Source organism: Homo sapiens, chromosome 6 (assembly GCF_000001405.40).
Source record: "Homo sapiens chromosome 6, GRCh38.p14 Primary Assembly".
Lineage (NCBI taxonomy): Eukaryota > Metazoa > Chordata > Mammalia > Primates > Hominidae > Homo > Homo sapiens.
The window spans coordinates 47,376,688-47,402,169 of record NC_000006.12 but is presented as its reverse complement, the minus strand read 5'-3'; the positions used below and the strand labels follow the sequence as shown (position 1 = coordinate 47,402,169).

Below are 25,482 nucleotides of genomic sequence, written 5' to 3'. Positions count from 1 at the left end.
TGCATAAGCATTGATGAGCCTTGTTCCCAGTTTGGTTTTTATATTTGCAGGGTTTACTCCAGTGCACCATAGCACCAAGTTTTCCCAGGACATTTAAAAATCTCATTTCTCTACAGCAACACTTCCTTGTTTGTGTTCCTCTTGCACATCCTTCTTGGGGCACACAAGCCATCATTCTCGTTGTTCTTAAGGAGGCAGTCAATTATGGATTTTTATAATTAGGATTCTGAAACATGACATTTGAGACAGGCCTCCTTTCAAACAGAGATCCCTAGGGCATAATCTAATTACCAACAAGGTACAATGCCCACAGTCTTGCAAAGAACTCTGGAGTAAAGGCTCTATGTTGACCCAAGTCATTAATAATAGATCATTAGCTCTTGAGCCAGCATTTATTGAACACCACGGAGTGTCAGATGTGCCGCAGGATGGTAACAAAAGAATGAAGATTCTCGAAGGATTCCCCCAGTGGGTGGGTGAGACCAATTTCCCATCTGGTTGTGGTGAAGCAATGGGGTTACCAGGGTCTACTCCATTCACATTCCAGTAAATATGAACAGGTCCCGTCCACCCTTCTACAAGAAGGGCAGCAAGTTTCCTGAGAAGGCAGAGTTGAGAGAATGCTAATTGTAAAGCATGAGGAAGAAGAGAAAAGAGCAGGTATGAACCCCCGACGATGGAAGTTTTTAAATGACTCTATTGGGGGCCAACACAATAACAATGTCTATCCTCTAAGAAGTCTCATAGAGGCAATTTCTTCCTAGTAAGACTTACACAGCCCTTCACCTGGGCACCACTCAGTACAAAGACTTTGTTCTTATCTTGGTCCCCCTTAGAATATTTGGCTGGCTTAATGTCTGAACCCTGAAACCTCCCTGGATCCTGGCTATCTCTGATATAGGAAATGCACAGTGCATTTGCTCTGTCCTAGACTAAGCCTAGGGTTAACTCTCATGTCACTTGGAATACTTTTTTCTGGAAAAAATTTGCTTTCAGTTTCTTTGGTTCTGGTGACCCACTGGAATGCTAAGTACTGTTGAAAAACTGATCATTTTATTGAGTAAATTTGTCAAACATTTATTTATTCATTCAACAAGTGGTTCTAGAGTGCATATCATGTTGCCTGGCACTGTCCTAGTGGCTGGCAATGCAGCAGGAGCAAAACAGACAAAATTCTCAGCCCTCATGGGGAGACAAGAAAATTAGATACGAGTATAGCATGCTGATGGTGTTAACTTCTAAGGTGAAAAAAAGGCAGGGAAAGTGGGTAAGGAATTTACGAAGGGTGCGATGGGTAGGGCTGCAATTTTAGAAAGGCTAGCCAGAAAAGGACTTAGGCAAAAACAACATTGAGTGAAGACAATGAAAAGTCAAAAGAGTGAGTCACAAAAGACATGTGGGTGATGGGCACACTGGGCAAATGAAAATGCAAGTATGCCAGTTCTCAAGTTGGAGTATGACTGGAGTATTCTAAGAACACCAAGGAGGCCAGTATGTCTGAGTTGAATGACAGAGGGAGAGAATGATAGGAAACAGGGTCAGAGATGAAGCTGGGGAGGGGAGAGAGCAGGTTGGAGGCAGGGAAGAGTGGGTAGGACTGTTAGGCCATTGAAAATACTTGAGCATTTACTCTAAGGGAGATGAGGGTCAACAGCATCTGCTACATAGAAAGTTTTCATTTAATGGAATTTTTGGTGAATAGATATGAAGGATTCAGTACTATGGCTAAGTGTCTAAGTTATTTTCATTTCCTAGACACTTAGCCATAGCTCTGTGTCCTTCATATCTATTCACTTATATAATGTACAGGAGTACATTTCTATAATGATAATGGGCTGTTGAGGTAGCCGTATTTACTGACTACTTACTCAAATCTTGCCTTTCCCTTGGCTCCTAACATAGCTGCAAGTCTTAGTCCCTCACTGGATTTAGACTCCAATGTCACCTATTCAGAGAGGCCTTCTCTTATGACTGTCTGAAATGGCACCTCCCATCACTCTCCAGTCTCTGATCCTGTTTTATTTTTCTTCAAAGTACTTAGCTTTATGATTGTTATAGTATAGATTGGAATCACTTGGGAAGATTGGAGTTGAGTAGAATGACATGATGTGTGTTCTATTTTAACAACAATCAATCTAGCTGCTGTGCTGAGAACATACTGAGGGGAGGTAAGGGAAGAAGCAGGGAGACCAGTTGTTTGTAGAACATTGTTTCTCAATAGTCGCAATATATTTGACAGTTTCTTTGGAAGAGCTTATATACATGTTAATCTTGATATGCACCGGGAGTTTGTTATGGGTTTACATAGTCTCCATTCTTAAATGATCCTAAAAATTACAATGTAATGTCTGACAATTTCCCCCTGATATTTTGGTTTAAATTATATTGACTAATAAAATAGACATGGAGAAAACACTCCCCTAAACTGAGACATAGCATTGTGCCAAGAATAGATGAATCTTCTGTAGTGATCTTTGAGGTTCATGCTATCTTCCACTAAGATAAACAGATAGATATTAGATATATACAAACTTTGTGACAAGGATTAGAGAGTACAGAATTTTCAGAGAGTCAGCCTCTTTCCATCACTTATTTACTCTCCCTCTGGGGCATCTGACACTTATGGGTCCAGGGAGCTTCCTGAGGCTTGTCTTCCTTTGAATAGTTAGGAACATAAAGGAAGACTCCTTGTCCAATGCTTTGGCCCTGCAGGATCTGGAATAGTAATGCACTTCTGCAGAGGAGCAGGAATTGGAAAGCTTTGTACCAGCAAAGGATTTTGAATCTACGAAACCCACCTCAAGCATGTGAGGGTAGAGTCAAAGGCAGGCAGTTTAGCGGATGAAGGCATAAAGATTTTGATTCTGCCCAGTCACTAACTAGTTCCTAGTGATAGATGACTCATTTTCTCTTCATGGCCCTTAGTTTTTCAACTTTAACCAGGGAAAGTCAAGATACACTAAATGAAAAAAGAGGCTGCATAATAATGGGTTTAGTATGATCCCATTTTCTTGTTTTAATAATATTAAAAAACCTTTCATTTGTGTTGTGTGTGTCACATAAGTATACCATACAGATATATATGGAGGATATATACACACAGAGATATACACATATATATCTACAAATACATAGACTATTGATACACATATCTAGATAAACACAAAGAAAGATTTTAACATAAGTTACTCTGGAGAGACAGGCAGAATTCTTGGATCTTTGGCCCCCAAGTCTCACTTTGTGTTTTTGGAGATAAGCTAGCTTGGCCAGGGACTTCTCCTCTGCATGGGGAAGAGTGGATCTGCATTCCATCTCAATTTCTGACAAGGCTACCAGGTGCTAGAATCCAAATCATTGTCCTAGAATCCTATAAACAGCTAGCACCCATGCTCACCTTTTTGATACCCAAGCTTGGATTATCTTGCCCCATTTGCAAGAGCATTCCATTACTTGCCCCATAAAAAGGAAGAGTCATAGGGAGATAGGGTCCCTTTTCTGGAGCATAGCCCCACAGTGTGTCCCATGCGTCCAGTTGTACTTAGCCTAGGCTTGTCCATCCACAGAGAAGGGGCCCCTGCAACTGCTTCCTGTCTGCCCTAAATTCCAGCCTGCACCACATGACACTAGCAGGTACTCTTGAGCTAGTACATTTGGCTTAATTGGCGATCAAGGTGTTGATGTGAAAATGGAAGGGTTGGGGAGTGTTGGCTGGGAGTGAGAGTGGAGGCAATGAAGAGAGAGATTACTAATCTTTTTGCTATATATTTTAGTATAATTTTACCAGTTAAAATGAGCATAAGTCTGTAAGTAAAAATCTAGTCAATAAAAGTGGGCACTAAAGGTATTAAGTATTTTTTCCAAATGCGAAGTCTGACCATATATAAGGTACAGCCTGACTTTTTGTGCTCTGGCCTTTCATGTAGTTAGGAGCACCTGGTCAGGCACTTGTACTTTGCTTGTGCTGGCCTCAGTGATGTTTAAAAGAGTAGGGCCATTTGAAGACAGATATTTTGATGTTCCCGCAGATCTTTTAAAGGCTACTTACTCACATCTTGCCTTTCTCTCTGCTCCTAACATAGTCACATGTTACATGTGCTTCTAAAGACACAAAAAATGAGGTAATTTTAGAAAGAAATTAAAGCTTTTGGATACCCTAGCCAAGGGTAAATTTGAACAATTAAAAAGATAATTGGACTGAAACTGGGTTAATAAAAACAGACTTTTGGAGCTCAGGGAATCACAGGGACAGGAAAGCAATTTGATAATGTCTGACCCTTCCACCCATCTATCTGCCCTCCATCTTCTTTTTCTTCTGTGTTGATTCTTCAGGATTACATTGTTTACAAATCAGTTCTGACTTGGAAACTATGCATCACTTAAAGAGAAGAAAAGAAAAGTGCCCTTGTATGTGCCATTTGTGTCAGTCTCAGAGGTGAAGGATGCATTGACCTTCCTATTCCTGACATGTGATTTGAAGGAGGCTTATTTCTTATTCTCAATGGTTTCTTGAGACATTTGAATAATATTTTGAAAATGGGCCAACTCATTTTTAAATAAAAGGCAATTAGGTTACCCCATCTCATTTTTCTCACAAAGTAATATGTATAGCCATGTAGGACAATGCAAATTTTCCAGACTGATTTGGAATGAGCTGAATTATCTTCTTTCCTCTAATTGATTAATTACTCTAGGTTTCAAAGAGGAGGAACCTCCTGGTACTTCAGTTGAAAAAATTTAAAAGCTTATGTTTAAAACAGGAAATTTGTGAAGTGGAAGAAAGGAAGTGAAGGAGAGAGGGAGGGAGGAAAAAAGGAAGGGAAGAAGGAATCCTTATTTGACCTGTACTCCTTTAGAACCCAAAGTTAGTTCTAGTCCTCTCCGTTTCTTTGGATACTCATTTTCCTACACTGGGATTTCTACCTTCCTTCTTTCCCAAACTCAAAAACACAGTAATGATCTTGCTTTTAAGACATATCATATCATGTTTTTCAGTTTTGGATGTTGCTGCCAAGGGCAGTCAGCTCATTTGACTCTATCTACTATGCTGCATTTGAGATTTTGTCAATGCCATTGAATACAAAGGTGAAAGCAAGAGCCCATAAATATGGCTGCATCAAAAAGGTAAGCATTTTGCCTGGTCCCCATTGTTTGGGTAAACTAATCCAACAATCAATGTTGTTTTCCATTTAGCAAGCCTTCTTAAAAGGAAACTTAAAATACTTGGATTGAACAATGCGTGTGTGTGTTAATTCAAATGGCAGGCAAACAATCAACATGGATTATCTAAGGATAGACTTTCTGTGGTTAAAAATTCAGAAATTTAACACTATGTACTTAGACTGTTACTAAGGCCTCTTAAAAATAGCCAATCTATTATTTATCACCTTATCTCCCCTACCATTATTTGAGAAACATTTTGATAAAAGTAATTTATTTCATTTTTCCATCTCTTTTTCCATTTTTTTTCAAGTTACTGTTTTACATATGATTTATTTATATTGGCTATTGTGGCTCTCAAACATCACAAGGCTTATGTTTATGCATTTAAATCTTCTGGGACTCCGCCAAAGCAACTGTTTTCATCTCATTCAATATTCATCCTTTCCATACCAATGAGTTTCTAGGAGACTTTCCACAAGGTCCTTGGAGCTAGTGCATTTTCTTACAATTTTATCTTGAAATGATTTAGGACTTGAGAATAATCATAAGAAAAAAAAACCCAAAAAGAAAGAGTGTGAATGAGATATATAGCATGAATGAGATAATTAAAAATAAATAGGCTTTAAAAGATCATGTCCATACATACAATTTCTGTAATTTAAAAAAGCTTCAGTAAACATGGTACTTAAAGTTTTGTTGTTTGTTTGATAGGTATATAGAAGGTGTAAATATGCTATGAGATGATTGCTGGCTTTTCCAAATCTCTTAGTTCACATTCCTGGCAGAAATGGTTGGGGTAATCCATCTTTGAGGACTAAACCTGAGAAAATATTAAATATCAGTTCTTAAAGCTTTAAAGTGGTAGGCTTGATTTCAATTTGCTAACTCCTTTCTTCAATGTCACATTTTAAAAATGGCTTTTCTAAAATTTACTCTCCCTTACACAGGGATGAATTAAACCAATTAAATGTATATACATGGCCCTTTCCAAAACTAGAATTCCGAGATTATTCACATCAAAAAATAAGTGAAGTGGAATTTTAATAATCTATTCAAAGACCCCAGCCTGTGTAGCTCATCTACATGGTGCTGGTTTCTTTAAATAGAGAAAATTTATTGAAAACAAAAATGCCTTGACTAAATTTTACGTTGAAAGATAAAAGGGAGACCCACGAGGCCTGGGATTTTCCAGATAGAAGGTGCAAAATTTCTATCTGCCAAGTGCATGGGATCTTTGAGTGACCATCCTCAGCTAGATGCTACAAGACAACAAGTCTCAGCAGAGATGAAGGCAGTTGATATCTGTCACTTGAATGGTTACCTGCAAATTATTAGGTTTTAATAATAGAGTCTTGTTTAGATATTGTTGCAGTTTATAATTTGCGTCACTGATCTGCATAAGTACATGGAGCCAACTCTTATTATTCATAGATATTTATGTATGAATTTGCTTACTTGTTAAAATTTATTTGTAACTTCCAAATCAATATTCATGGCACTTTCTTGGTTATTTGCAGACATGCATAGAATGGTGAAAAATTTGAGTTGCTTGATGTTCACATTTCTCGGCTGAGGTTGAATGAGGTAATCCTCTGCTTTCTTGTTCTGGCCCTCATACTGTAAGCAAGTATTCTCTTTGAGGTCTATTTAGTGCTATGTTTTTTCACGTTTTTGTGCTTTTTGGTGGTAATTTTGCTTTTGAAAATGTTCCTGGCTGGGCATGGTGGTGACTCATGCCTGTGATCCCAGCACTTTGGGAGGCTGAGGTGGGTGGATCACTTGAGGTCAGAAGTTCGAGACCAGCCTGGCCAACATGGTCAAACCAGTCTCTATTAAAAATGCAAAATTAGCCGGGCATGGTGGCGCGCACCTGTAATTCCCAGCTACTCTGGAGGCTGAGGTAGGAGAATCGCTTGAACTGGGGAGACGGAAGTTGCAGTGAGCAGAGATCGTACCATTGCACTCCAGCCTGGGTGACAGAGCGAGAGTCTGTCTCAAATAAAGAAAAAAGGAAAATGGTCCTAAGCACACAAGGGTTATGATACGCCTTACAGAGAAAATAGGTTGCATTAGATAAGCTTTATTCAGGTAAGAATTATAGTGCTGATGACCATGAGTCCAGTGTTAATTAAATAAGGTGCCTTAAAACAGGAATACACATAATACAAGGTTATGTGTGATCAATTGATGAAAATATTGTGACCTGAGACTCACAGGAATCCAACTCTGTATTTTCCCTTTGAGCAATTGATCAGTATTTGCTAATTTGGTATTCACTGAAACTTTATAGAATATAACTACTGCAAGTAGAGAGAATCTACAGCATAACATAATGTTTATAATAAATTAATTGGCTTGAAAGATTTATTATTTTCATTATTTATTTACCCTTTTTGAGAGAAAATTAAAGAGAAGTTAGAAATACTGAGAATAATACAAAAAAGGCCATGTAAGTACTACATAACATTATCAATGAACAACAACATTTTGTTTTATTTGTTTAATCTTTTTTTAAAAAAACATGACACATCGGCCAGGTGGGGTGGCTCGAGCCTGTAATCCCAGTACTTTGGGTGGCCAAGGAGGGCAGATTGCCTGAGTTCAAGAGTTTGAGACCACCCTGGGCAACATGATGAAACCCCGTCTCTATTAAAATACACAAAATTAGCTGGGTGTGGGGGCACATGTCTGTAGTCCCAGCTACTCTGGAGGCTGAGGCACAAGAATCACTTGAGCCCCAGAGACGGAGGTTGCAGTGAGCCGAGATCGCACCACTGCACTTCAACTTGGGTTTACAGAGTGAGACTCCATCTCAAAAAAAAAAAAAAAAAAAAGAAAAGAAAAGAAAAGAAAAGAATTAAAACATGACACACAAAGCATGTAAAGTAAAAATTCCCCTTGCTCCATTATGCTCTTCCTCAGAGACAACTGCTATGAATTTGTTTTTCATCTTTTTTCATACTTCAATATACTTACATATCCATGAAGCAGGCATGCTTACAAATAAACTAAGGCATTGCCCTTTGCTTTTTTTTTGGAGACAGTCTCACGCTGTCACTCAGACTGGAGTGCAGTGACGCTGTCTTGGCTCACTGCAGACTAGATCTCCAGGTTCAATTGATCCTTTTGCCTCAGCTCCCCAAGTATCTGGGACTACAGGGATGCGCCATCATGCCTAGCTAATTTTTTTGTATTTTTTATAGAGGCGGGATTTCACCATGTTGCCCAGGCTGGTCTTGAACTCCTGAGCTCAAGTGATCCTCTTGCCTCAGCCTCCCAAAGTGTGGGATTACAGGCATGAGCCTCCATACCTGGCCCAGCCCTTTGCTTTTGATGTCTATCTATGATGATCTAAATAGCTTCATCTCATTCTTTTTAATGGTTCTATAGTATTCCATCACATAAATATACTACAGTTTATTATCCATTCTCCTGTTGATAGGTACTTTGGTTATTTTCAATTTTTTAAATTTCTTTCTTTTTTTTTTTTTTTTTTTTTTTTTTTACTATTTTAGCAGGGCTGGAATGAGCATCCTTAAATTTGTATCCCTGTGTACTTATGGAAGAGTTTCCTTAAGCATATGTACCTAAAAGTGGCACTGCTGGATTAGGGAATGAACATATTTAGTTTCAGCAGATATTTCCAATTGGTCTCCAAATTGTTTGTACTTTACATTCTTATACTCAGTCCCTGACAACTCATAAGAAAACTATAATATTTATGTTAGGCTTTCTGGAGACACTTATTCATGTAGCACTGGGCTTGAAATCTTCAGCCTTTCTGAAGGTGGAAAGTGAGGCTTCTTAAGTTTATCCAAGAAGCATCCAGGTTTTACCACATAAGGCTAAGAACTATGTGATCAATAAAATTAGACTTTTGGGCCAGGTGCCATGGCTCATAACTGTAATCCTAGTACTTTTGGAGGCTGAGGCAAGAGGCTTGCTGGAGCCTAGAAATTTGAGGCCAGCCTGGGCAACATAGTGAGACCCCATCTCTATAAAAAATAACAACAAAAAATTAGCCAAGAGTGGTAGCATGTACCTACGGTCCCAGCTACTTAGAAGCTGAGGTGGGAAGATTGTTTGAGCTTAGGTTGAGGCTGCAGTGAGCCATGAACACACTGCTGCTCTCCAGCCTGTCTCAAAAAATATATATATACTTTTAATAGACATGGAAAATGTTCACAATATAATGTTTAATTTAAAAGGAGCTGGGCACTGAAGAGGGAGGAGGCAGAGAAAGATGGAATAGAACTCTCCAGTAATCACTGTCCCCGTAGGAACACTAAATTTAGCAACTATCCACACAATAAAGCACCTTTTGGAAAAACAAAAAATCAGGTGAGCAATCACAGTACCTGGTTTGACTATCATAGCAAGAAAAGAGGCACTGAAGAGGGTAGAAAAGGCAGTCTTGAATTGCCTACATTATCTCTCCCCATTCACCAGAAGCAGCTCTGTGGTGCTGAGAGAGATTCTATGTGCTTGGGGGAGGGAGACAACAGTGACTGTGGGACTTTGCATTGGAACTCAGTGCTGCCCTGAACTCACAGTGGAATGCAACACAGGACAGAGTTAAGCTGGCACCCATGGAGGGAGCAATTAAACCAGCCCTGGCCAGAGGGGAATTGTCCCTATCGGTGGTTAGAACCTGAGTTCTAGCTAATTCCACCACCATGAACTGACACACTCTGGGGTTATAAATAAACTGGAAAGGCAATCTAGGCCACAAGGACTGTAATTCTTGGACAAGTCCTGATGCTGTGCTGGGTTTGGAGCCAGTGGACTTGGGGTGCACACAACCCAGTGAGATATCAGCTGGCCAGCCAAGGGAGTGCTTGTGCCATAGTTCCCCCAGTTCCAGGCAGCACAGCTCACAGCTTTGGGAGAGACTCTTCCCCCTTGAAGAAAGGAGAAGGAAGAGTAAAAAGGACATTGTCTTGCAACTTGAGTACCAGATCAGCCACAGTAAAATGAAGGACCAAGCAGATCCCTAAAGTCCCTGATCCCAGGCCTTAGCTCCTGGATGGCATTTCTAAACCTGCCCTGGGCCAGAAGGGAACCCATTGCCCTGAAGGGAGAGTCCTAGGACTGGCAAGATTTATCACTTGCTAACTGAAGAGCCCTTGGGCCTTGAATAAACAGCTGTGGTAGCCAGTCAATACTTGCCATGAGTGTGGAGCTACAGTGGCTACAGGGAGAGACTTCTGCTTGAGGAAAGGAGAAAAAAGATTAAAAAGAACTTTGTCTTGCAACATATATGTCAGCTAAGCCACAGTAAAGTAGAGCACCTAGTAGATTCCTAACATTCCTGACTCTAGGCTCTGGCTCCTGGACAGTATTTCTAGACCCACCCTGGGTCACAAGGGAACCTGCTATTTTGAAGGGAAAGACACAAGCTTAGTTGGATTTACCACCTGCTGACTAAAGAACTTTTGGGCCTTGAACAACCATCAGCAGTAGCCAGGCAATGGTTACCACAGGCCTTTGCCAACTGCTAGTACTGTTCTGGCTTCAGGTCTGACCAAGCACAGTCTCAGTGGTGGTGGCTATAGGGGTGCTTGTGTCACACCTTCCCCAACTCCAGGCAGCATAGCATAGAGGAGAGACTCCTTTTGTTTGGGGGAGAATAAGGAAAGAGAACAGAGACACTGCCTGATAATACAGGGAATTCACCTGGGTCTTTCTCAAGACCAATAAGGTGATATCTATATGAGTCTGTAAGAGTCTGCATTAAGGGGCTTGAGGTGCCCCCTAAAGCAGATAAAGCTGCAGTGACCAAAGATTTACAACACAATACTCAATTCACTTTCAATACTTGGAAAGCCTTCTCAAGAAGGATGGGTATAAACAAGCCCACACCATGAAGACTACAATAAATATCTACCTCTTCAATGTCTAGATACAGATGAACATCCACAAGCATCAAGACCATCCAGGAAAGCATGACCTCACCAAACAAAGTAAAAATGGCAGTAGAGACCAATCCTGCAGAGGCAGAGATCTTTGGCGTTTCAGACAGAGAATTCAAAATAGCTACTTTGAGGAAGGTCAATGAAATAACAGATCGATGAAAGATCAAGACAACACAGAGAAGAAATTTAGAATCCTTTCCAGATAAATTTTAAAAAGAGATTGAAATAATTTTTAAAACTCAAGCAGAAATTCTGGAGCTGAAAAATTCAACTGATATACTGAAGAATGCATCAGAGTCTCTCAATAGCAGAATTAATCAAGCAGAAAAAAAAATTAGTGAGCTTGAAGACAGACTATTTGAAAATACACAGTGAGAAAAGGCAAAAGAATAAACAGAGTAAAAAAGAAGTGGGCCAGGTGCAGTGGCTCACACCTGTAATCCTAGCACTTTGGGAGGCCGAGGTGGGTGGATCATCGAGGTCAGGAGTTTGAGACCAGCCTGGCCAACATGGAGAAACCCCTTCTCTACTAAAAAAATACCAAAAATTAGCTGGGTGTGGTGGCATAATCCCAGCTACTTGGGAGCATGAGGCAGGAGAATCACTTGAACCAGGGAGGCAGAGGTTTCAGTGAGCTGAGTTTGTGCCACTGCACTCCAGCCTGGGCAACAAGAGCGAAACTCCATCTCAAAAAAAAGAAAAGAAAAAAGAAAAAGAAAAAGGAGGAAGTATGCCTATAAGATTTAGAATATAGCCTCAAAAGGGCAAATCTAACGGTTATTGGCCTTAGGACAGACACACACACACACACATGCACACACACACACACACACACACACACACACAGAGAGAGAGAGATATCAGGGTACAAAGTTAATTCAAAGGGATAATAACAGAGAAATTTTGAAACCAAGGAAAAGATACCCGTATTCAAGTACAAGAATAATGCAGAACACCAAGCAGATTTAATCCAAATAAGACAACTTCAAGACATTTAATAATCAAATTCCCAAAGGTCAAGAATAAAGAAAGGATCCTAAAAGCATCAAGAGAAAAGAAAATAACATACAAAGGAGCTCCAATATGTCTGGCAGCAGAGTTCTCAGTGGAAACCTTACAGGCCAAGAGAGAGAGTGGCATGACACTAACACGCTGAAAGAAAACAATGTTTACTAAAGTGCTGAAAGAAAACAACTTTTATTATAGGATCCTAGAGCTTTTATCCAGTGAAAATATTCTTCAAACATGGAGGAGAAATAAAGACTTTCCCAGACAAACAAAAGCTTAGGATTTTCATCACCATCAGACCTGTCCTACAAGAAGTGCTAAAAGGAGTTCTTCAATCTGAAATGAAAGGATGTTAATGAGCAGTAAGAAATCATCTAAAGGTACAAAGCTCACTGGCAATAGTAAGTACACAGACAAATCCAGAATATGATAACACTGTAATTGTGGTTTGTAAAGGACTCATATCTTGAGTAAGAAGACTAAAAGATGAACCTATCAAAAATAATAACTACAACAACTTTTCAAGACATAGCATAAAACAAAAAAGTTAAAAATGGAAGGATGTTGTTAAAATGTAGACTTTTATTAGTTTTCTATTTGCTTGTTTGCTAGTTTGTCTGTTTATGCAATATGTTAAGCTGCCATCAATTTAAAATAATGGGGTATAAGATGTTATTTGCAAGCCTCATGGTAACCTCAAATTTAAAAACCTACAACAGATACACAAAAAAATAAAAAGCAAGAAATTAAAACATACCACCAGAGAAAATCATCTTTGCAACAAGAAGGACAAGAATAAAGGAATGAAGGGAGAAAGGAGCAAAAAAACAACCATAAAGCAACAAAATGGCAGGAGTAAGTCCTTACTTATCAATAATAACATTGACTGTAAATGGACTAAACTCCCTAATCAAAAGACAGAGTAACTGAATAGATAAAAAAAGAGACCCAATTATTTTCTGCCTACAAAAAACACACTACACCTATAAAGACACAAATAAACCGAAAATAAAGGTATGGGAAAGGACATTCCATGCAAACAGAAATAAAAAAAAGAGCAGGAGTAGCTATATTTATATCAGACAAAATAGATTTCCAGACAAAAATCATAAAAAGAGACAAAGAAGGTCATTATATAATGATAAAGGGGTCAATTCAACAGGAGGCTATAACAAATACAAATATATATGCATCCCACACTGGAGCACCCAGATATATAAAGTGAATATTATTAGAGCTAAAGAGAGATAGACCCTAATACAATAATAGCTAGAGATTTCAACATCTCACTTTCAGCATTGGACAAATGATCTGGACAGAAAATCGACAAACACTAGTCTTAATTTGCACTGTAGATCAAATGGGCCTAATAGATATTTACAGAACATTTCATCCAACGGCTGCAGAATACATAATCTTCTCCTCAGCACATAGGACATCATCAAAAATAGATCATATATTAGGCCACAAAATAAGTCTTTGGAAGTTCAAAAAATTGAAATTATATCATTTCCTCTCTGACCATAATGGAGTAAAACTAGAAATCAATAACAAGAGGAACTTTAGAAACTATTCAAACACATGAAAATTAAACAACATGCTCCTAAATGACTCACAGGTCAATAAAGAAATTAAGAAGGAAATTAAAAACTTTTTTGAAACAAATGAAAATGGAAACACAACATACCAAAACCTATTGGATATAGCGAAAGCAGTACTAAGAGGAAAATTTATAACAATAAGTGCCTAAATAAAAACAAGGAGAAAAACTTCAAATAAGCAATCTAATGAGGCATCTTAGTGAACTAGAAAAGCAAGAGCAAACAAATCCAAAATTAGCAGAAGAAAAGAAATAATAAAGATCAGAGGGCCGGGTCGGGTGGCTCATGCTTGTAATTCCAGCACTTTGGGAGGCCGAGGCAGGTGGATCATGAGGTCAGGAGTTCAAACCCAGCCTGGCCAACATAGTGAAACCTCGTCTCTACTAAAAATACAAAAATTAGCTGGGCGTGGTGGCAGGCACCTGTAATCCCAGCTACTCGGGAGGGTGAGGCAGAAGAATCACTTGAACCCGGGAGGTGGAGGTTGCGGTGAGCCGAGATCACGCCACTGCACTCCAGCTTGGGGAACAGAGTGAGAATTCGTCTCAAAAAAAAAAAAATCAGAGAAGAAATTAATGAAAGTGAAATGAAAAAACAATGCAAAATATCAGAGGAACAAAAGGTTTTTTTTAAAGATAAAATTGACAAACTTTTAGGCAGCCTAATTAAGAAAAAAAGACCCAAATAAACAAGATCAGAGACTAAAAAGGAGACATTATTCAGGACACCGTGACTCATGCTCGTAATCCCAGCACTTTGGGAGGCCAAGGAAGGCAGATCACTTGAGCTCAGAAATTCTGGACCAGCCCAGGCAACATGGTGAAACCTTGTCTCTACTAAAAATTCAAAAAATAGCTGGGTGCAGTGATGCATGCCTGTAGTCCCAGCTACTTGGGGGACTGAGGCAAGAGGATCACTTGAGCCAGGGAGGACAAGGCTGCAGTGAGCCGTGTTCATGCCACTAAACTCCAACCTGAGCAACAAAGTGAGACCCTGCCTCGGGAAGAAAACAAAAAAGAAAAAGTAGACATTATAAGTTATACCACAGAAATTAAAAGGATCACTAGAGACTACTATGAGTAACTATATGTCAATAAATTGGAAAACCTAGAAGAAATGGATAAATTCCTAGACACCCACAACCTACCAAGAGTGAACCATGAAGAAATTCAAAACCTGAATAGACCAATAATAAGTAACAAGATCAAGGCCATAATAAAAACTCACCTAGGTAAGAAAAGCCTGAAACCTGATGGCTTCACTGCTGAATTTTACCAAACATTTAAGGAAGAACTAGTACCAATCCTACTCAAACTGTTCTGAAAAATAAAGGAGGACAGAATACTTTCAAACTCATTGTATGAAGCCAGTATTACCCTGATACCAAAACCAAAGACACATTAAGAAAAGAAAATTACAGGCCAATATCTCTGATGAACGTTGATGCAAAAATCCTCAATTAAATTCTAGCAAACTGGTTTCAACAACACATTAAAAAGATTACTCATCATGAGCAAGTGGAATTTATCCCAGGTATGCAAGGATGGCTCAACATGCATAAATCAATCAATGTGATACATTATATCAACAGAATGAAGGACAAAAACCATATGATCATTTCAATTGATGCTCAAAAACCACTTGATAAAATTCCACATCTCTTCATGATGAAAACCTAAAAAAACTAGGTATAGAAGGGACATACTTTACCACAATAAAAGCCATATACAATAGACCCACAGCTAGTATCATAATAAATGAGGGGAAACTGAAAGTCTTTCCTCTAAGATCTGAAACAGGAAAAGGATGCCCACTTTCACCATTGTTATTCAACATAGTACTAGAAGTTCTAGTTAGAGCAATCAGACAAGAGAAAGGGCATCCAAATTGTAAAGGAAGAAGTCAAATCATCTTTGTTTGCAGATATATAAACTTACATTTGGAAAAACCTAAGACTCCGCCAAAAAACTATTAGAACTGTTAAACAAATCTAGTAAAGTCACAGAATACAAAACAGAAAAATCAGTAACATTTCTATACGTCAACAGCAAATAATCTGAAAAATAAATGAAGAAGGTAATCCCATATACAGTAGCTGCAAATAAAATACTTAGAAATAAACTTAATTAAAGAAGTGGAAACTCTCTATAATGTACAAGTGAATGATCTCTATAATGATATAAATCATTGGTGGAAGAAATTGAAGATGACAGTAAAAAATGGAAAGAAATTCCATGTTCATGGATTGGAAGAATCGATATTGTTAAAATGTCCATACTACCCAAAGCAATCTACAGAGTCAATGTAATCCCTGTCAAAATATCAATGACATTCTTCACAGAAATTTTAAAAAATCCCAAAATTTATATGGAACCACAAAAGGCCCAGAATAACCAAAGCCATCCTGAGCAAAAGGAAAAAACTGAGAATCACATTACCTGACTTCAGATAATACTACAGAGCTGTAGTAACCAAAACAACATGGTGCTGGCATAAAAACAGACATACAGACCAATGGAACAGCATAGATAACCCAGAAATAAATTTATATATATATACAGTAAATTCATTTTCAACAAACTTTCCAAGGCCATACATTGTGTACAGGACAGTCTCTTCAATAAATGTTGCTGGGAAGACTAGATATCCAGATGCAGAAGAATGACGCTAACTCCCATCTCTTGCCGTATACAAAAATCAAATTTATTGGGGAACCTGCCCCAATAGTCACATAGGTTCTTTTCTATTTTCCCTAAGCATCAGCTGGTCTGAGAAATAAAGAGACAGAGTACAAAAGAGAGAAATTTTAAAGCTGGATGTCCTGGGGAGACATCACATGTCGGTAGGTTCTGTAATGCCCCATAAGCCGCAAAACCAGCAAGTTTTTATTAGGGACTTTCAAAAGGGGAGGGAGTGTGCGAATAGGTGTGGGTCACAGACAACAAGTACTTCATGAGGTAATAGAATATCACAAGGCAAATGGAGGCAGGGCGAGATCACAGGACCACAGGACTGGGGCGAAATTAAAATTGCTAATGAAGTTTTGGGCACCATTGTCATTGATAACATCTTATCAGGAGACAGGGTTTTGAGTACAACTTGTCTGACCAAAATTTATTAGGTGGGAATTTCCTCTTCCTAATAAGCCTGGGAGCACTATGGGAGACTGGGGTCTATTTCACTCCTACAGCCTCAACCATAGAAGATAGCAACGCCCAGTGGGGCCATCTTTAGACCTACCCCCAGGCACGTATTCTCTTTCCCAGGGACGTTCCTTGCTGAGAAAAATAATTCAGCGATATTTCTCCCATTTGCTTTTGAAAGAAGAGAAATATGGCTCTGTTCCGCCCAGCTCACCAGTGGTCAGAGTTTAAGGTTATCTCTCTTGTTTCCTAAACATTGCTGTTATCCTGTTCTCTGTTCAAGGTGCCCAGATTTCATATTGTTCAAACACACATGCTCTACAATTTGTGCAGTTAATGCAATTATCACAGGGTCCTGAGGTGACATACATCCTCCTCGGCTTAGGAGATGACAGGATTAAGAGATTAAAGTAAAGACAGGCATAGGAAATCACAAGGGTATTGATTGGGGAAGTAATAAGTGTCCATGAAACCTTCACAATTTATGTTTGGAGACTGCAGTAAAGACAGGCATAAGAAATTATAAAAGTATTAATTTGTGGAAGTAATAAATGTCCATGAAATCTTCACAATCCACATTCTTCTGCCATGGCTTCAGTGGGTCCCTCCGTTTGGGGTCCCTGACTTCCCGTAACACAAATTAAAATGGATTAAGGACTTAAATCTAAGGCCTCAAACTATGAAACTACTAAAAGAAAACATTGGGGAAACTCCAGGACATTGTTCTGGGCAAAGATTTCTTGAGTAATAACCCGCAAGCAGGAGAAACAAAAGCAAAAATGGACAAATGGGATCACATCAAGTTAAAAAGCTACTTTACAGCAAAGGAAACAATCAACAAACTGAAGAGACAACCCATTAAAATGGGTGAAAATATTTGCAAACTATTCACCTGATAAGAAATAATAACCAGGATATATAACGAACTCAAACAACTCAATAAGAAAAAAACCTAATAATCGGATTTTAAAATGGGCAAATCAGACCAGGTGCAGTGGTCCATGCCTGTAATCCCAGCACTCGAGAGGCCAAGGCAGGACTATCACTTGAGGTCAGGAGTTTGAGACCAGCCTGGCCAACATGGTGAAAACCTGTTTCTACCAAAAAACACAAAAGTTAGCCGGGCATTGTGGTGCACACCTGTAATCCCAGCTACTCAGGAGGCTGAGGCACAAGAATTGCTTGAACCCAGGAGGCAGAGGTTTCAGTGAGCTGCGAACGTGCCACAGCACTGTAGCCTGGGTGACAGAGTGAGACCCTGCCTCAAAAAAAAAAAAAAAAAAAAAAAAGGCAAATGATCTGAATGAATTTTTCTCAAAAAGAGACATGCAAATGGTAAACAGGTATATGAAAAGATGCTAAACGTCATTATTCATCAGATAAATGCAAATCAAAACTGTAATGAAATATCATCTCACTCCAGTTAAAATGGCTTTTACCCAAAAGACAGGCAATAACATATGGTGGTGAGGATGTAGAGAAAAGGGAATCTTTGTACACTGTAGTTGGGGATGTAAATTAGTACAACCATTATGGAGAACAGTTTTAGAGGTTCCTCAAAAAACTAAAAGTAGAACTATGGAACTACCATATGATCCAGCAATCCTGTTGCTGAGTATATACCCCAAAGAAAGGAAATCTGTATATCGAAGAGATATCTGCACTACCATATTTATTGTAGCACTATTCACAATAGCCAAAATTTGGAAACAACCCAAGTGCCCATTAACAGATGAATGGCTGCAGAAAATGTGGTACATATACACAGTGGAGTACTATTCACCCATAAAAAAGAATGGGAGTCTGTCATTTGCAACAACATAGCTGGAACTGGAGGACATTATGTTAAGTGAAATAAGTGAGTTACAGAAAGACAAACTTCACCTGTTCTCACTTATTTGTTGTTAAAAATTAAAACAAACTCATGGAAATAGAGAGTAGAATGATGGCTACCAGAGGCTGAGAAGAGTAGTACAGAGGAGGTGGAAATGAGGATAGTTAATAAGTATAAAAACATAGTTAGATAGAATAAGTAAGATCTAGTATTTGATAGCACAACAGGGTGACTACAGTCAACAATAATTTATTCTACATTTAAAAGTAAATAAAAGGCTATAATTGGAATTTTGTAACACAAAGAAAGGACAAATGCTTGAGGTGATGGACAGCCCATTTACCCTGAAGATTATTACACACTGCATGCCTGTATCAAAATATCACATATATCCCATAAATATATATACCTACTATATACCCATAAAATTAAAAATTAAAAAATAAAAGGAGCAGAACACAAATCTGTTTTATACTATGTCTCAGTTTTGTTCATGTATATACGTCCAATAAAGAGTAAAAGGAACAATAACAGTGATAAGAATGATAACAGTTGTTCTTACTTTTTTTTTTTCATTTTCCATTACTGTGTTTTCTACATTTTCTTAGAAAATGGTTTTTATAATCAAGGGAAAAGCAAATAAATATCAAAATAAATAATGCTAAATAAGCAAGAAAGTCCTAGTTTTCATTAAAATTTCAAAACCCCAATACCCAAACCAGTAGCATCCTATGATTACCACCTCTGTTGCTTAGTTCTGGAAGAAAACATGTTCAAGAGATGAGTCAGGTGAATATATTCTATTACCAGTTTGCATTTCAGCCCCTAATACCCAAACCAGTAGCATCCTATGATTACCACCTCTATTGCTTAGTTCTGGAAGAAAACATGTTCAAGAGATGAGTCAGGTGAATATATTCTATTACCAGTTTGCATTTCAGCCCCTAATTCTTCTCTTAGTCCAGTCAGCCCAACTTTTACTCAACTTTCAAGGTTAAGTATTAAGTCAGTTACCTACAAACCACTTTACCAGACTGGCACAGTGAGATGGAAGAGTGCAAATCTTACTAGCAAAAAATGGGAATTGTCCATCAATAGAGGGCTGATTAAATAAATGATAGACTATTATTGACATAAAAAATAATATCGCATTCTCATATGTATTGATATAAAATGATCTGCAAGTCATAATTTCAAGAGAAAAACAAATCCATAAAACAGAATTTAAGCATATGAAACTTTATATGTAGCTTATCATCTCTCTATATATAAATATATATATACATATACATATATGTGTGTTACAAAGCATACACATAAATGCACAGAACATTTTGAAAGGATATTTCTCAAATAGTTACTAGCTTCTGAGGATAGAAGCAAGATTTTGACGTACGTGTGTGTTAAAAGAAGACTTGAACATTTTACTATATTTCTGAATTTTAAAAATCATTTAAAATGGAATTGTATTATGTTTCATTTGTGTAATTACACTTTTAAAAGCAAAAAGGAAATGCATCTGAAAAGTACAAATACCTCACAAATTCATAGAAAATTAGAAAATGAAAAAAGAGTAAAAAAGAAAAGGGATATGGAAACGAGAAGCCAGGTATAAAAAGAGACAGTACTCATTCATTTAAAAAAATTACTTATTGAGGCCAGGCGTGGTGACTCACGCCTGTAATCCCAGCCCTTTGGGAGGCTGAGGTGGGTGGATCATGAAGTCAGGAATTCAAGACCAGCCTGACCAACATGATGAAACACTATCTCTACCAAAAATACAAAAGTTAGCCGAGTGTGATGACGCACGCTTGTAAGCCCAGCTACTCAGGAGGCTGAGGCAGAAGAATCGCTTGAACCTGGGAGGCAGAAGTTGCATTGAGCCGAGATCACACCACTGCACTCCAGCCTGGGTGACAGAGTGAGACTCTATCTCAAAAAAAAAAAAAAAATTACTTATTGAGTGCCTTTATTTATTAAGGCAGTTGAAATATGCTAAGATGAATCAACCCACCTTGTCTTTCTAACCTGCATGACTTCTTTCTTTCAGATTAAATAATTTGCTTATCTACCTCTTTGGAGTCTTACGTTGTCCTTTGACCCATACCTTTTTCCTTTTAATGGTCCTGTTTTGCTGTCAGAAATTTTCAATATTATTTGCAGCTAAACCTAAATCTCTCCATCTGGACTGGGCAAAATTAAAACAGAGTCTATTAACTGTACTCAGTCCTAGACTATGGCTACTGCAGAGATTTGTGAATTGCTAATACGTTAGATGTTTCTGCCTTTTCCCTTTGGTCTGCTGAATGCAGGAGACAGCCACCTATCTGGGAAAGGGTGTCATTTATGTGCTTTTCCCTGCATCTCTCTTCCTTACTCTGAACTCTAAGCTTGTCCCTGGGCACATAGCAATTTCTTCCAGTGGAGGGAGTTGTAAAAGTCCCTGGATCTTTTTCTTTTTCTTCTTTCTTTCTTTTTTTTTTTTTTTTGTTTGAGCTGGAGTCTTGCCCTGTCGTCCAGACTGGAGTGCAGCAGTGTGATCCTAGCTCACTGCAGCCTTGAACTCCTGGGCTCAAGTGATCCTCCCGCTTCAGCCTCCTTAGTAGCTGGAACTACAGGCATGTGCCACCATACCTAGGGGTCCCTGGGTCTTTTGGACTGGAAAAGAGTGGTTTCCGGGTTGAGTCCAGCCTCTGTGGATTATTTGTTTCCCACTCTTAAATCCTCACCCAAGCTTTGGCTGCTCACGATATTACCAGCTAATAATTCCATGACCGCTTCTGCATGGGCAACACAAAAATAGCCAATCAACCCTTCAAATTTTCTGCCATTGTCACACATCTGGCCAAGGAGAGTTGTGGCATCTACAGAATTTTTGGCATATGCCTCCTCCTCATCACCGTTTTTTAGCATACTCTCCTTAGCTCTCAGGCAGCCTGTGGTCTTTCAGGAGGTTGGCAATAGCTATCGCTTGTTTGGTTTGCCTATCATACTTTCTCATCCTTCTTCTTCGGGTAATATCACTCGTTATTTCTGTGTAATTGTTCCCTTTCTCTTGGTATTCCGGTGGGACTTCCCTCTCTTCATATGCAGCAATGGTGATATGACATAAGCAGAGCAATCAGTCTTACTTGAAATTTGTGTATGGCCACATGTAAAAGAAGTCCTTTTTGTGTATGGGCTCATGGCTAGGACATCCCTAAGCCATGTTCTCCACCATATGAAACAGCCCATGTGTGGAATGAAACCAAGAAGAAACAAACAGAAATGGGTGATGGAGGGAGACAGAACAAATCCTAGTGTCAAGAAGTCCCTCTCTGTAGGCCCTGAGGCGTGGTTCCTACAGCTTACCTTTCAGTCCTGCGAGTTTCCCCAATATCCTTCCCAGATAACAGAGCCAATACATTTCCTTTCCACCCTTAAACTGGTTTGGATTAGGTGCCTGTCTCTTGTGACCTAAGAGCCCTGGTTAATACAGCCATCTCCTACTGAGCTGCCCCATCATTGCCTGTCCTCTCTGCAGATTCCCATTTTCAGATGATTCTATATCGCTCTCTTCCAGCCCTTCCATGGTTGGTCCTGTCTCTTCTGCTGCCCTTTCTCAGGCTCTACTCCCCTCTTTTCAAAGTTGGTGATCGGTTGGCAGGGGGCTAAGATAATGGCAGCTGGTACAAGTTTCCTTCTAGGGAGGAATACGTAATTGTTGAGAAGATGAGCTTTCAGGATCTGGATAAAGGAGTACGGGCAGATAACAGGGAGAAAGTATGTCTATTGTTCTCAGGCAGAAGAGGTAGGGAGAATGGTTGGTGGGGTTGTTAAGGAATGTCCTATGAAATAATAGAAAATTTTTCAGTTCACTATGGGGCCTCTGCTGCAGTTATTGGACTCACGAAATGCTTGTGTACGAATGACATTTGTGTGGAAACTACTAAAAGGGCTAGACATTCTGTAATCTGGAAGCATATGTGGGTGGATGGCAGTAGAGAGAATGAACTCAGGGAATCTGCAGAAATATTGGGTAATACTTGTGTATGTATGCAGATTTAAGATTCAAAACAAGTATTACCCAATATTTCTGCAGATTCCCTGAGTTCATTCTCTCTACTGCCAGCAAAGGGTGAGAAACCCCTGACAGCTTACTTAAAAAATATATCTTGTTAAATTTTACTTCAACAATCTTGCAAAAGGCTGTGTCTTGGTGTTAGTTTGAATTTGTTCCTGGGGCAAGTTCTCTAAAACAGTAACTATTTCTGTTGCTATGTGAAAGCAGGCTGTTAGGACTAATCTCATCAGCAAAGAAAACCATAGTATTGGCCGGGCGCGGTGGCTCACGCCTGTAATCCCAGCACTTTGGGAGGCCGAGGCGGGCGGATCACGAGGTCAGGAGATCGAGACCATCCCGGCTAAAATGGTGAAACCCCGTCTCTACTAAAAATACAAAAAATTAGCCGGGCGTAGTGGCGGGCGCCTGTAGTCCCAGCTACTTGGGAGGCTGAGGCAGGAGAATGGCGTGAACCCGGGAGGCGGAGCTTGCAGTGAGCCGAGATCCCGCCACTGCACTCCAGCCTGGGCGACAGAGCGAGACTCCGTCTCAAAAAAAAAAAAAAAAAAAAGAAAACCATAGTATTTATATGATGAATAAACCCTTAATGGCATCTGCAAACCTAAGGCAAGAGAAGCCATTTGATTCTCTCCAAAGTGGCACACTGCCGGGAAATTCACTAAGAGGAAAGATAAGCTCATATGTTTCAGGCTGCTGGATAGGTGGGCACCGGATGTCTGCTGGCTCTTAAGCTACTGTCATGTGAAGGAAAAACAAGAAAGGGATAAGGTAGAGGCTCATGAAAAGGGGCACTTTATCTCAGTACAGCTACTGCCGACTAAGAGGGGAAAGACTGAGGTCCAGGTAATCTCCACTGCTCTAGAAAATCTAGGTCTTTACTCTACAAAACAAACAAATAAAAAATCCACAATGCTGAATGATGAACAGACAAAACCCTAGGAATTGAGTCAAGTGAGTGAGAACAAAGGGTTAAATGCTTCTCTTTGGAATGTAAGGAGAAAAGAGAACTGGGGCAAAAAAATTTGGGATCATAAAAATTTAGTGAGAATGAATGAAGAAAAGGCCAAATTTTGGTTTCTATCCTTAAATCTTGGTTGAAAGATTTAGTACAGTTTAGTAATACTTAATAGCTATTTTTATATGCAGGTCTGTCTTTATTTTATTTACTCCAAAACTTCCAATTCAAGCAAACCACATCCATGGCAAAAGATGCCTGTTTCTCCAGGAGCTTGACCAAATCATGACTGTTTTCCTGGTGTCATGGGACCTTCAGTTTAAGCAACATAGCTTAAGAGGAAATAACCTTTCTGGCATTAAATTAGCAACCTAAAAATGCGGCAGTGATGGTGCTATACTCCCACTCGCAGACATCTTTGGTCTTTTCTGGTTTTTCTAACAACTCTTTTTTTTTTTTTTTTTTTTTTTTAAAGACAGGGTCTCAGTGTCATACTGTTACCCAGGCTGGAGTACAGTGGTGTGATCACGGCTCACTGTAGAGTTGAATTCCTGGACTTCAGCGACCCTCCTGCCTAAGCCTGCAGTGTAGCTGGGACTACAGGCTCATGCCATCATGCCCAGTTAATTAAAAAAATTTTTTTTTTGTAGAGATGGGGTCTCGCTTTATAGCCCTGGCTGGTCTTGAACTCTTAGCCTCAAGCAATCCTCCTGCTTCCACCTCCCAAAGTGATGGTGATACAGATAGGAGACAGGGAAATACTGGGTAGAAGAGGGTGGTTCCCTGGCAAAGGCCCCACCCTCAAGCTTGGATACACACGGTTCTAAATGAGAACAGACATTCCTGTTTCGTGCCCAAAAAGTTGCCTTTTCACCCACCATGCCCCCTAACCTGCATCCATATATACCTCAGGCTCCAGAAACTGACCAGCAAGCCTGCAGACCAGCAGATGGATGGAGGAATGACGGGGCAGAGAAAGGGAGAAGAGGAGGAACATCTGAACGCCAAGAGGAATAAGGCTGGGGGCAGTCCGAAAGGATTCTGTTTGCTGGGCGGCCCGACCCCAGGGGAGGATCATTTTCCCACTCCATCCCCTGCTTCTGACTCCCCATTTATCCTGCTGAAAGTCACCTCCACCTCCACCTCCACCACTCAATAAAACTTCGCATTCATCCTTCGAGTTCGTGCGTGACCCGATTTTTCCGGGAGGCTGGACAAAAGCCCGGGATACGGAAAGCTGTCACGCTGGCCCTCTGCCCTTGCAAAAAGGCAGAGGGTCCATTGAGCTGATTAACACTAAAGCCATCTGTGGAGAGCAAAGCTGAAAGAGCTCTGTAACACTGGGGTTGCAGGAAACCACCTCTAGACTGTACCGCCGGGCTGGAGCCCAAAGCGCTCTTCCGGCCTGTATACCTGCTAATCTGCACGCTCCCCGTCTTTCAAGAGGTTTGAGCAGCAGGGCTACTGAACAGGCAAGCCACACTTCTGTTGCACATCCTGTGAGGGGAATCAGGGACCTGTCTGGTTGCAAAGGAATTACAGACATGAGCCACTGTGTCTGACCCATTTATCTTAAATTTAAGGGGATAACAATGCGGGAAGCTGGAATCTAGAGGAACCACAGTAACTTTGATCTCTAGCTGTGAGGAAGAACATGCCTGCTTCCCAAGTGACCATCCTCCCAGCACCATGATATCTATGAGATCAAGGGCTCCAGAGATTACAGAGACAGCTTTTGGCGAGTGTCAGTGTCCAGGTTGACTGCTGGACATTTCCTGCCAATGTGTTCTAGGGAGAACTAGC

General features: G+C 39.7%; 1 long non-coding RNA gene across 1 annotated transcript; it reads left to right on the top strand.

The window, feature by feature from the left end:
* Nucleotides 1-4,771: 4,771 nt before the first annotated feature.
* On the top strand, nucleotides 4,772-24,859 carry LOC105375082 (uncharacterized). The gene is made up of 3 exons (XR_926865.4): nucleotides 4,772-5,121; nucleotides 6,678-6,744; nucleotides 24,592-24,859. It is a non-coding gene; the product is annotated as an uncharacterized LOC105375082 (long non-coding RNA).
* The last annotated feature ends 623 nt before the right edge of the window (nucleotides 24,860-25,482 follow it).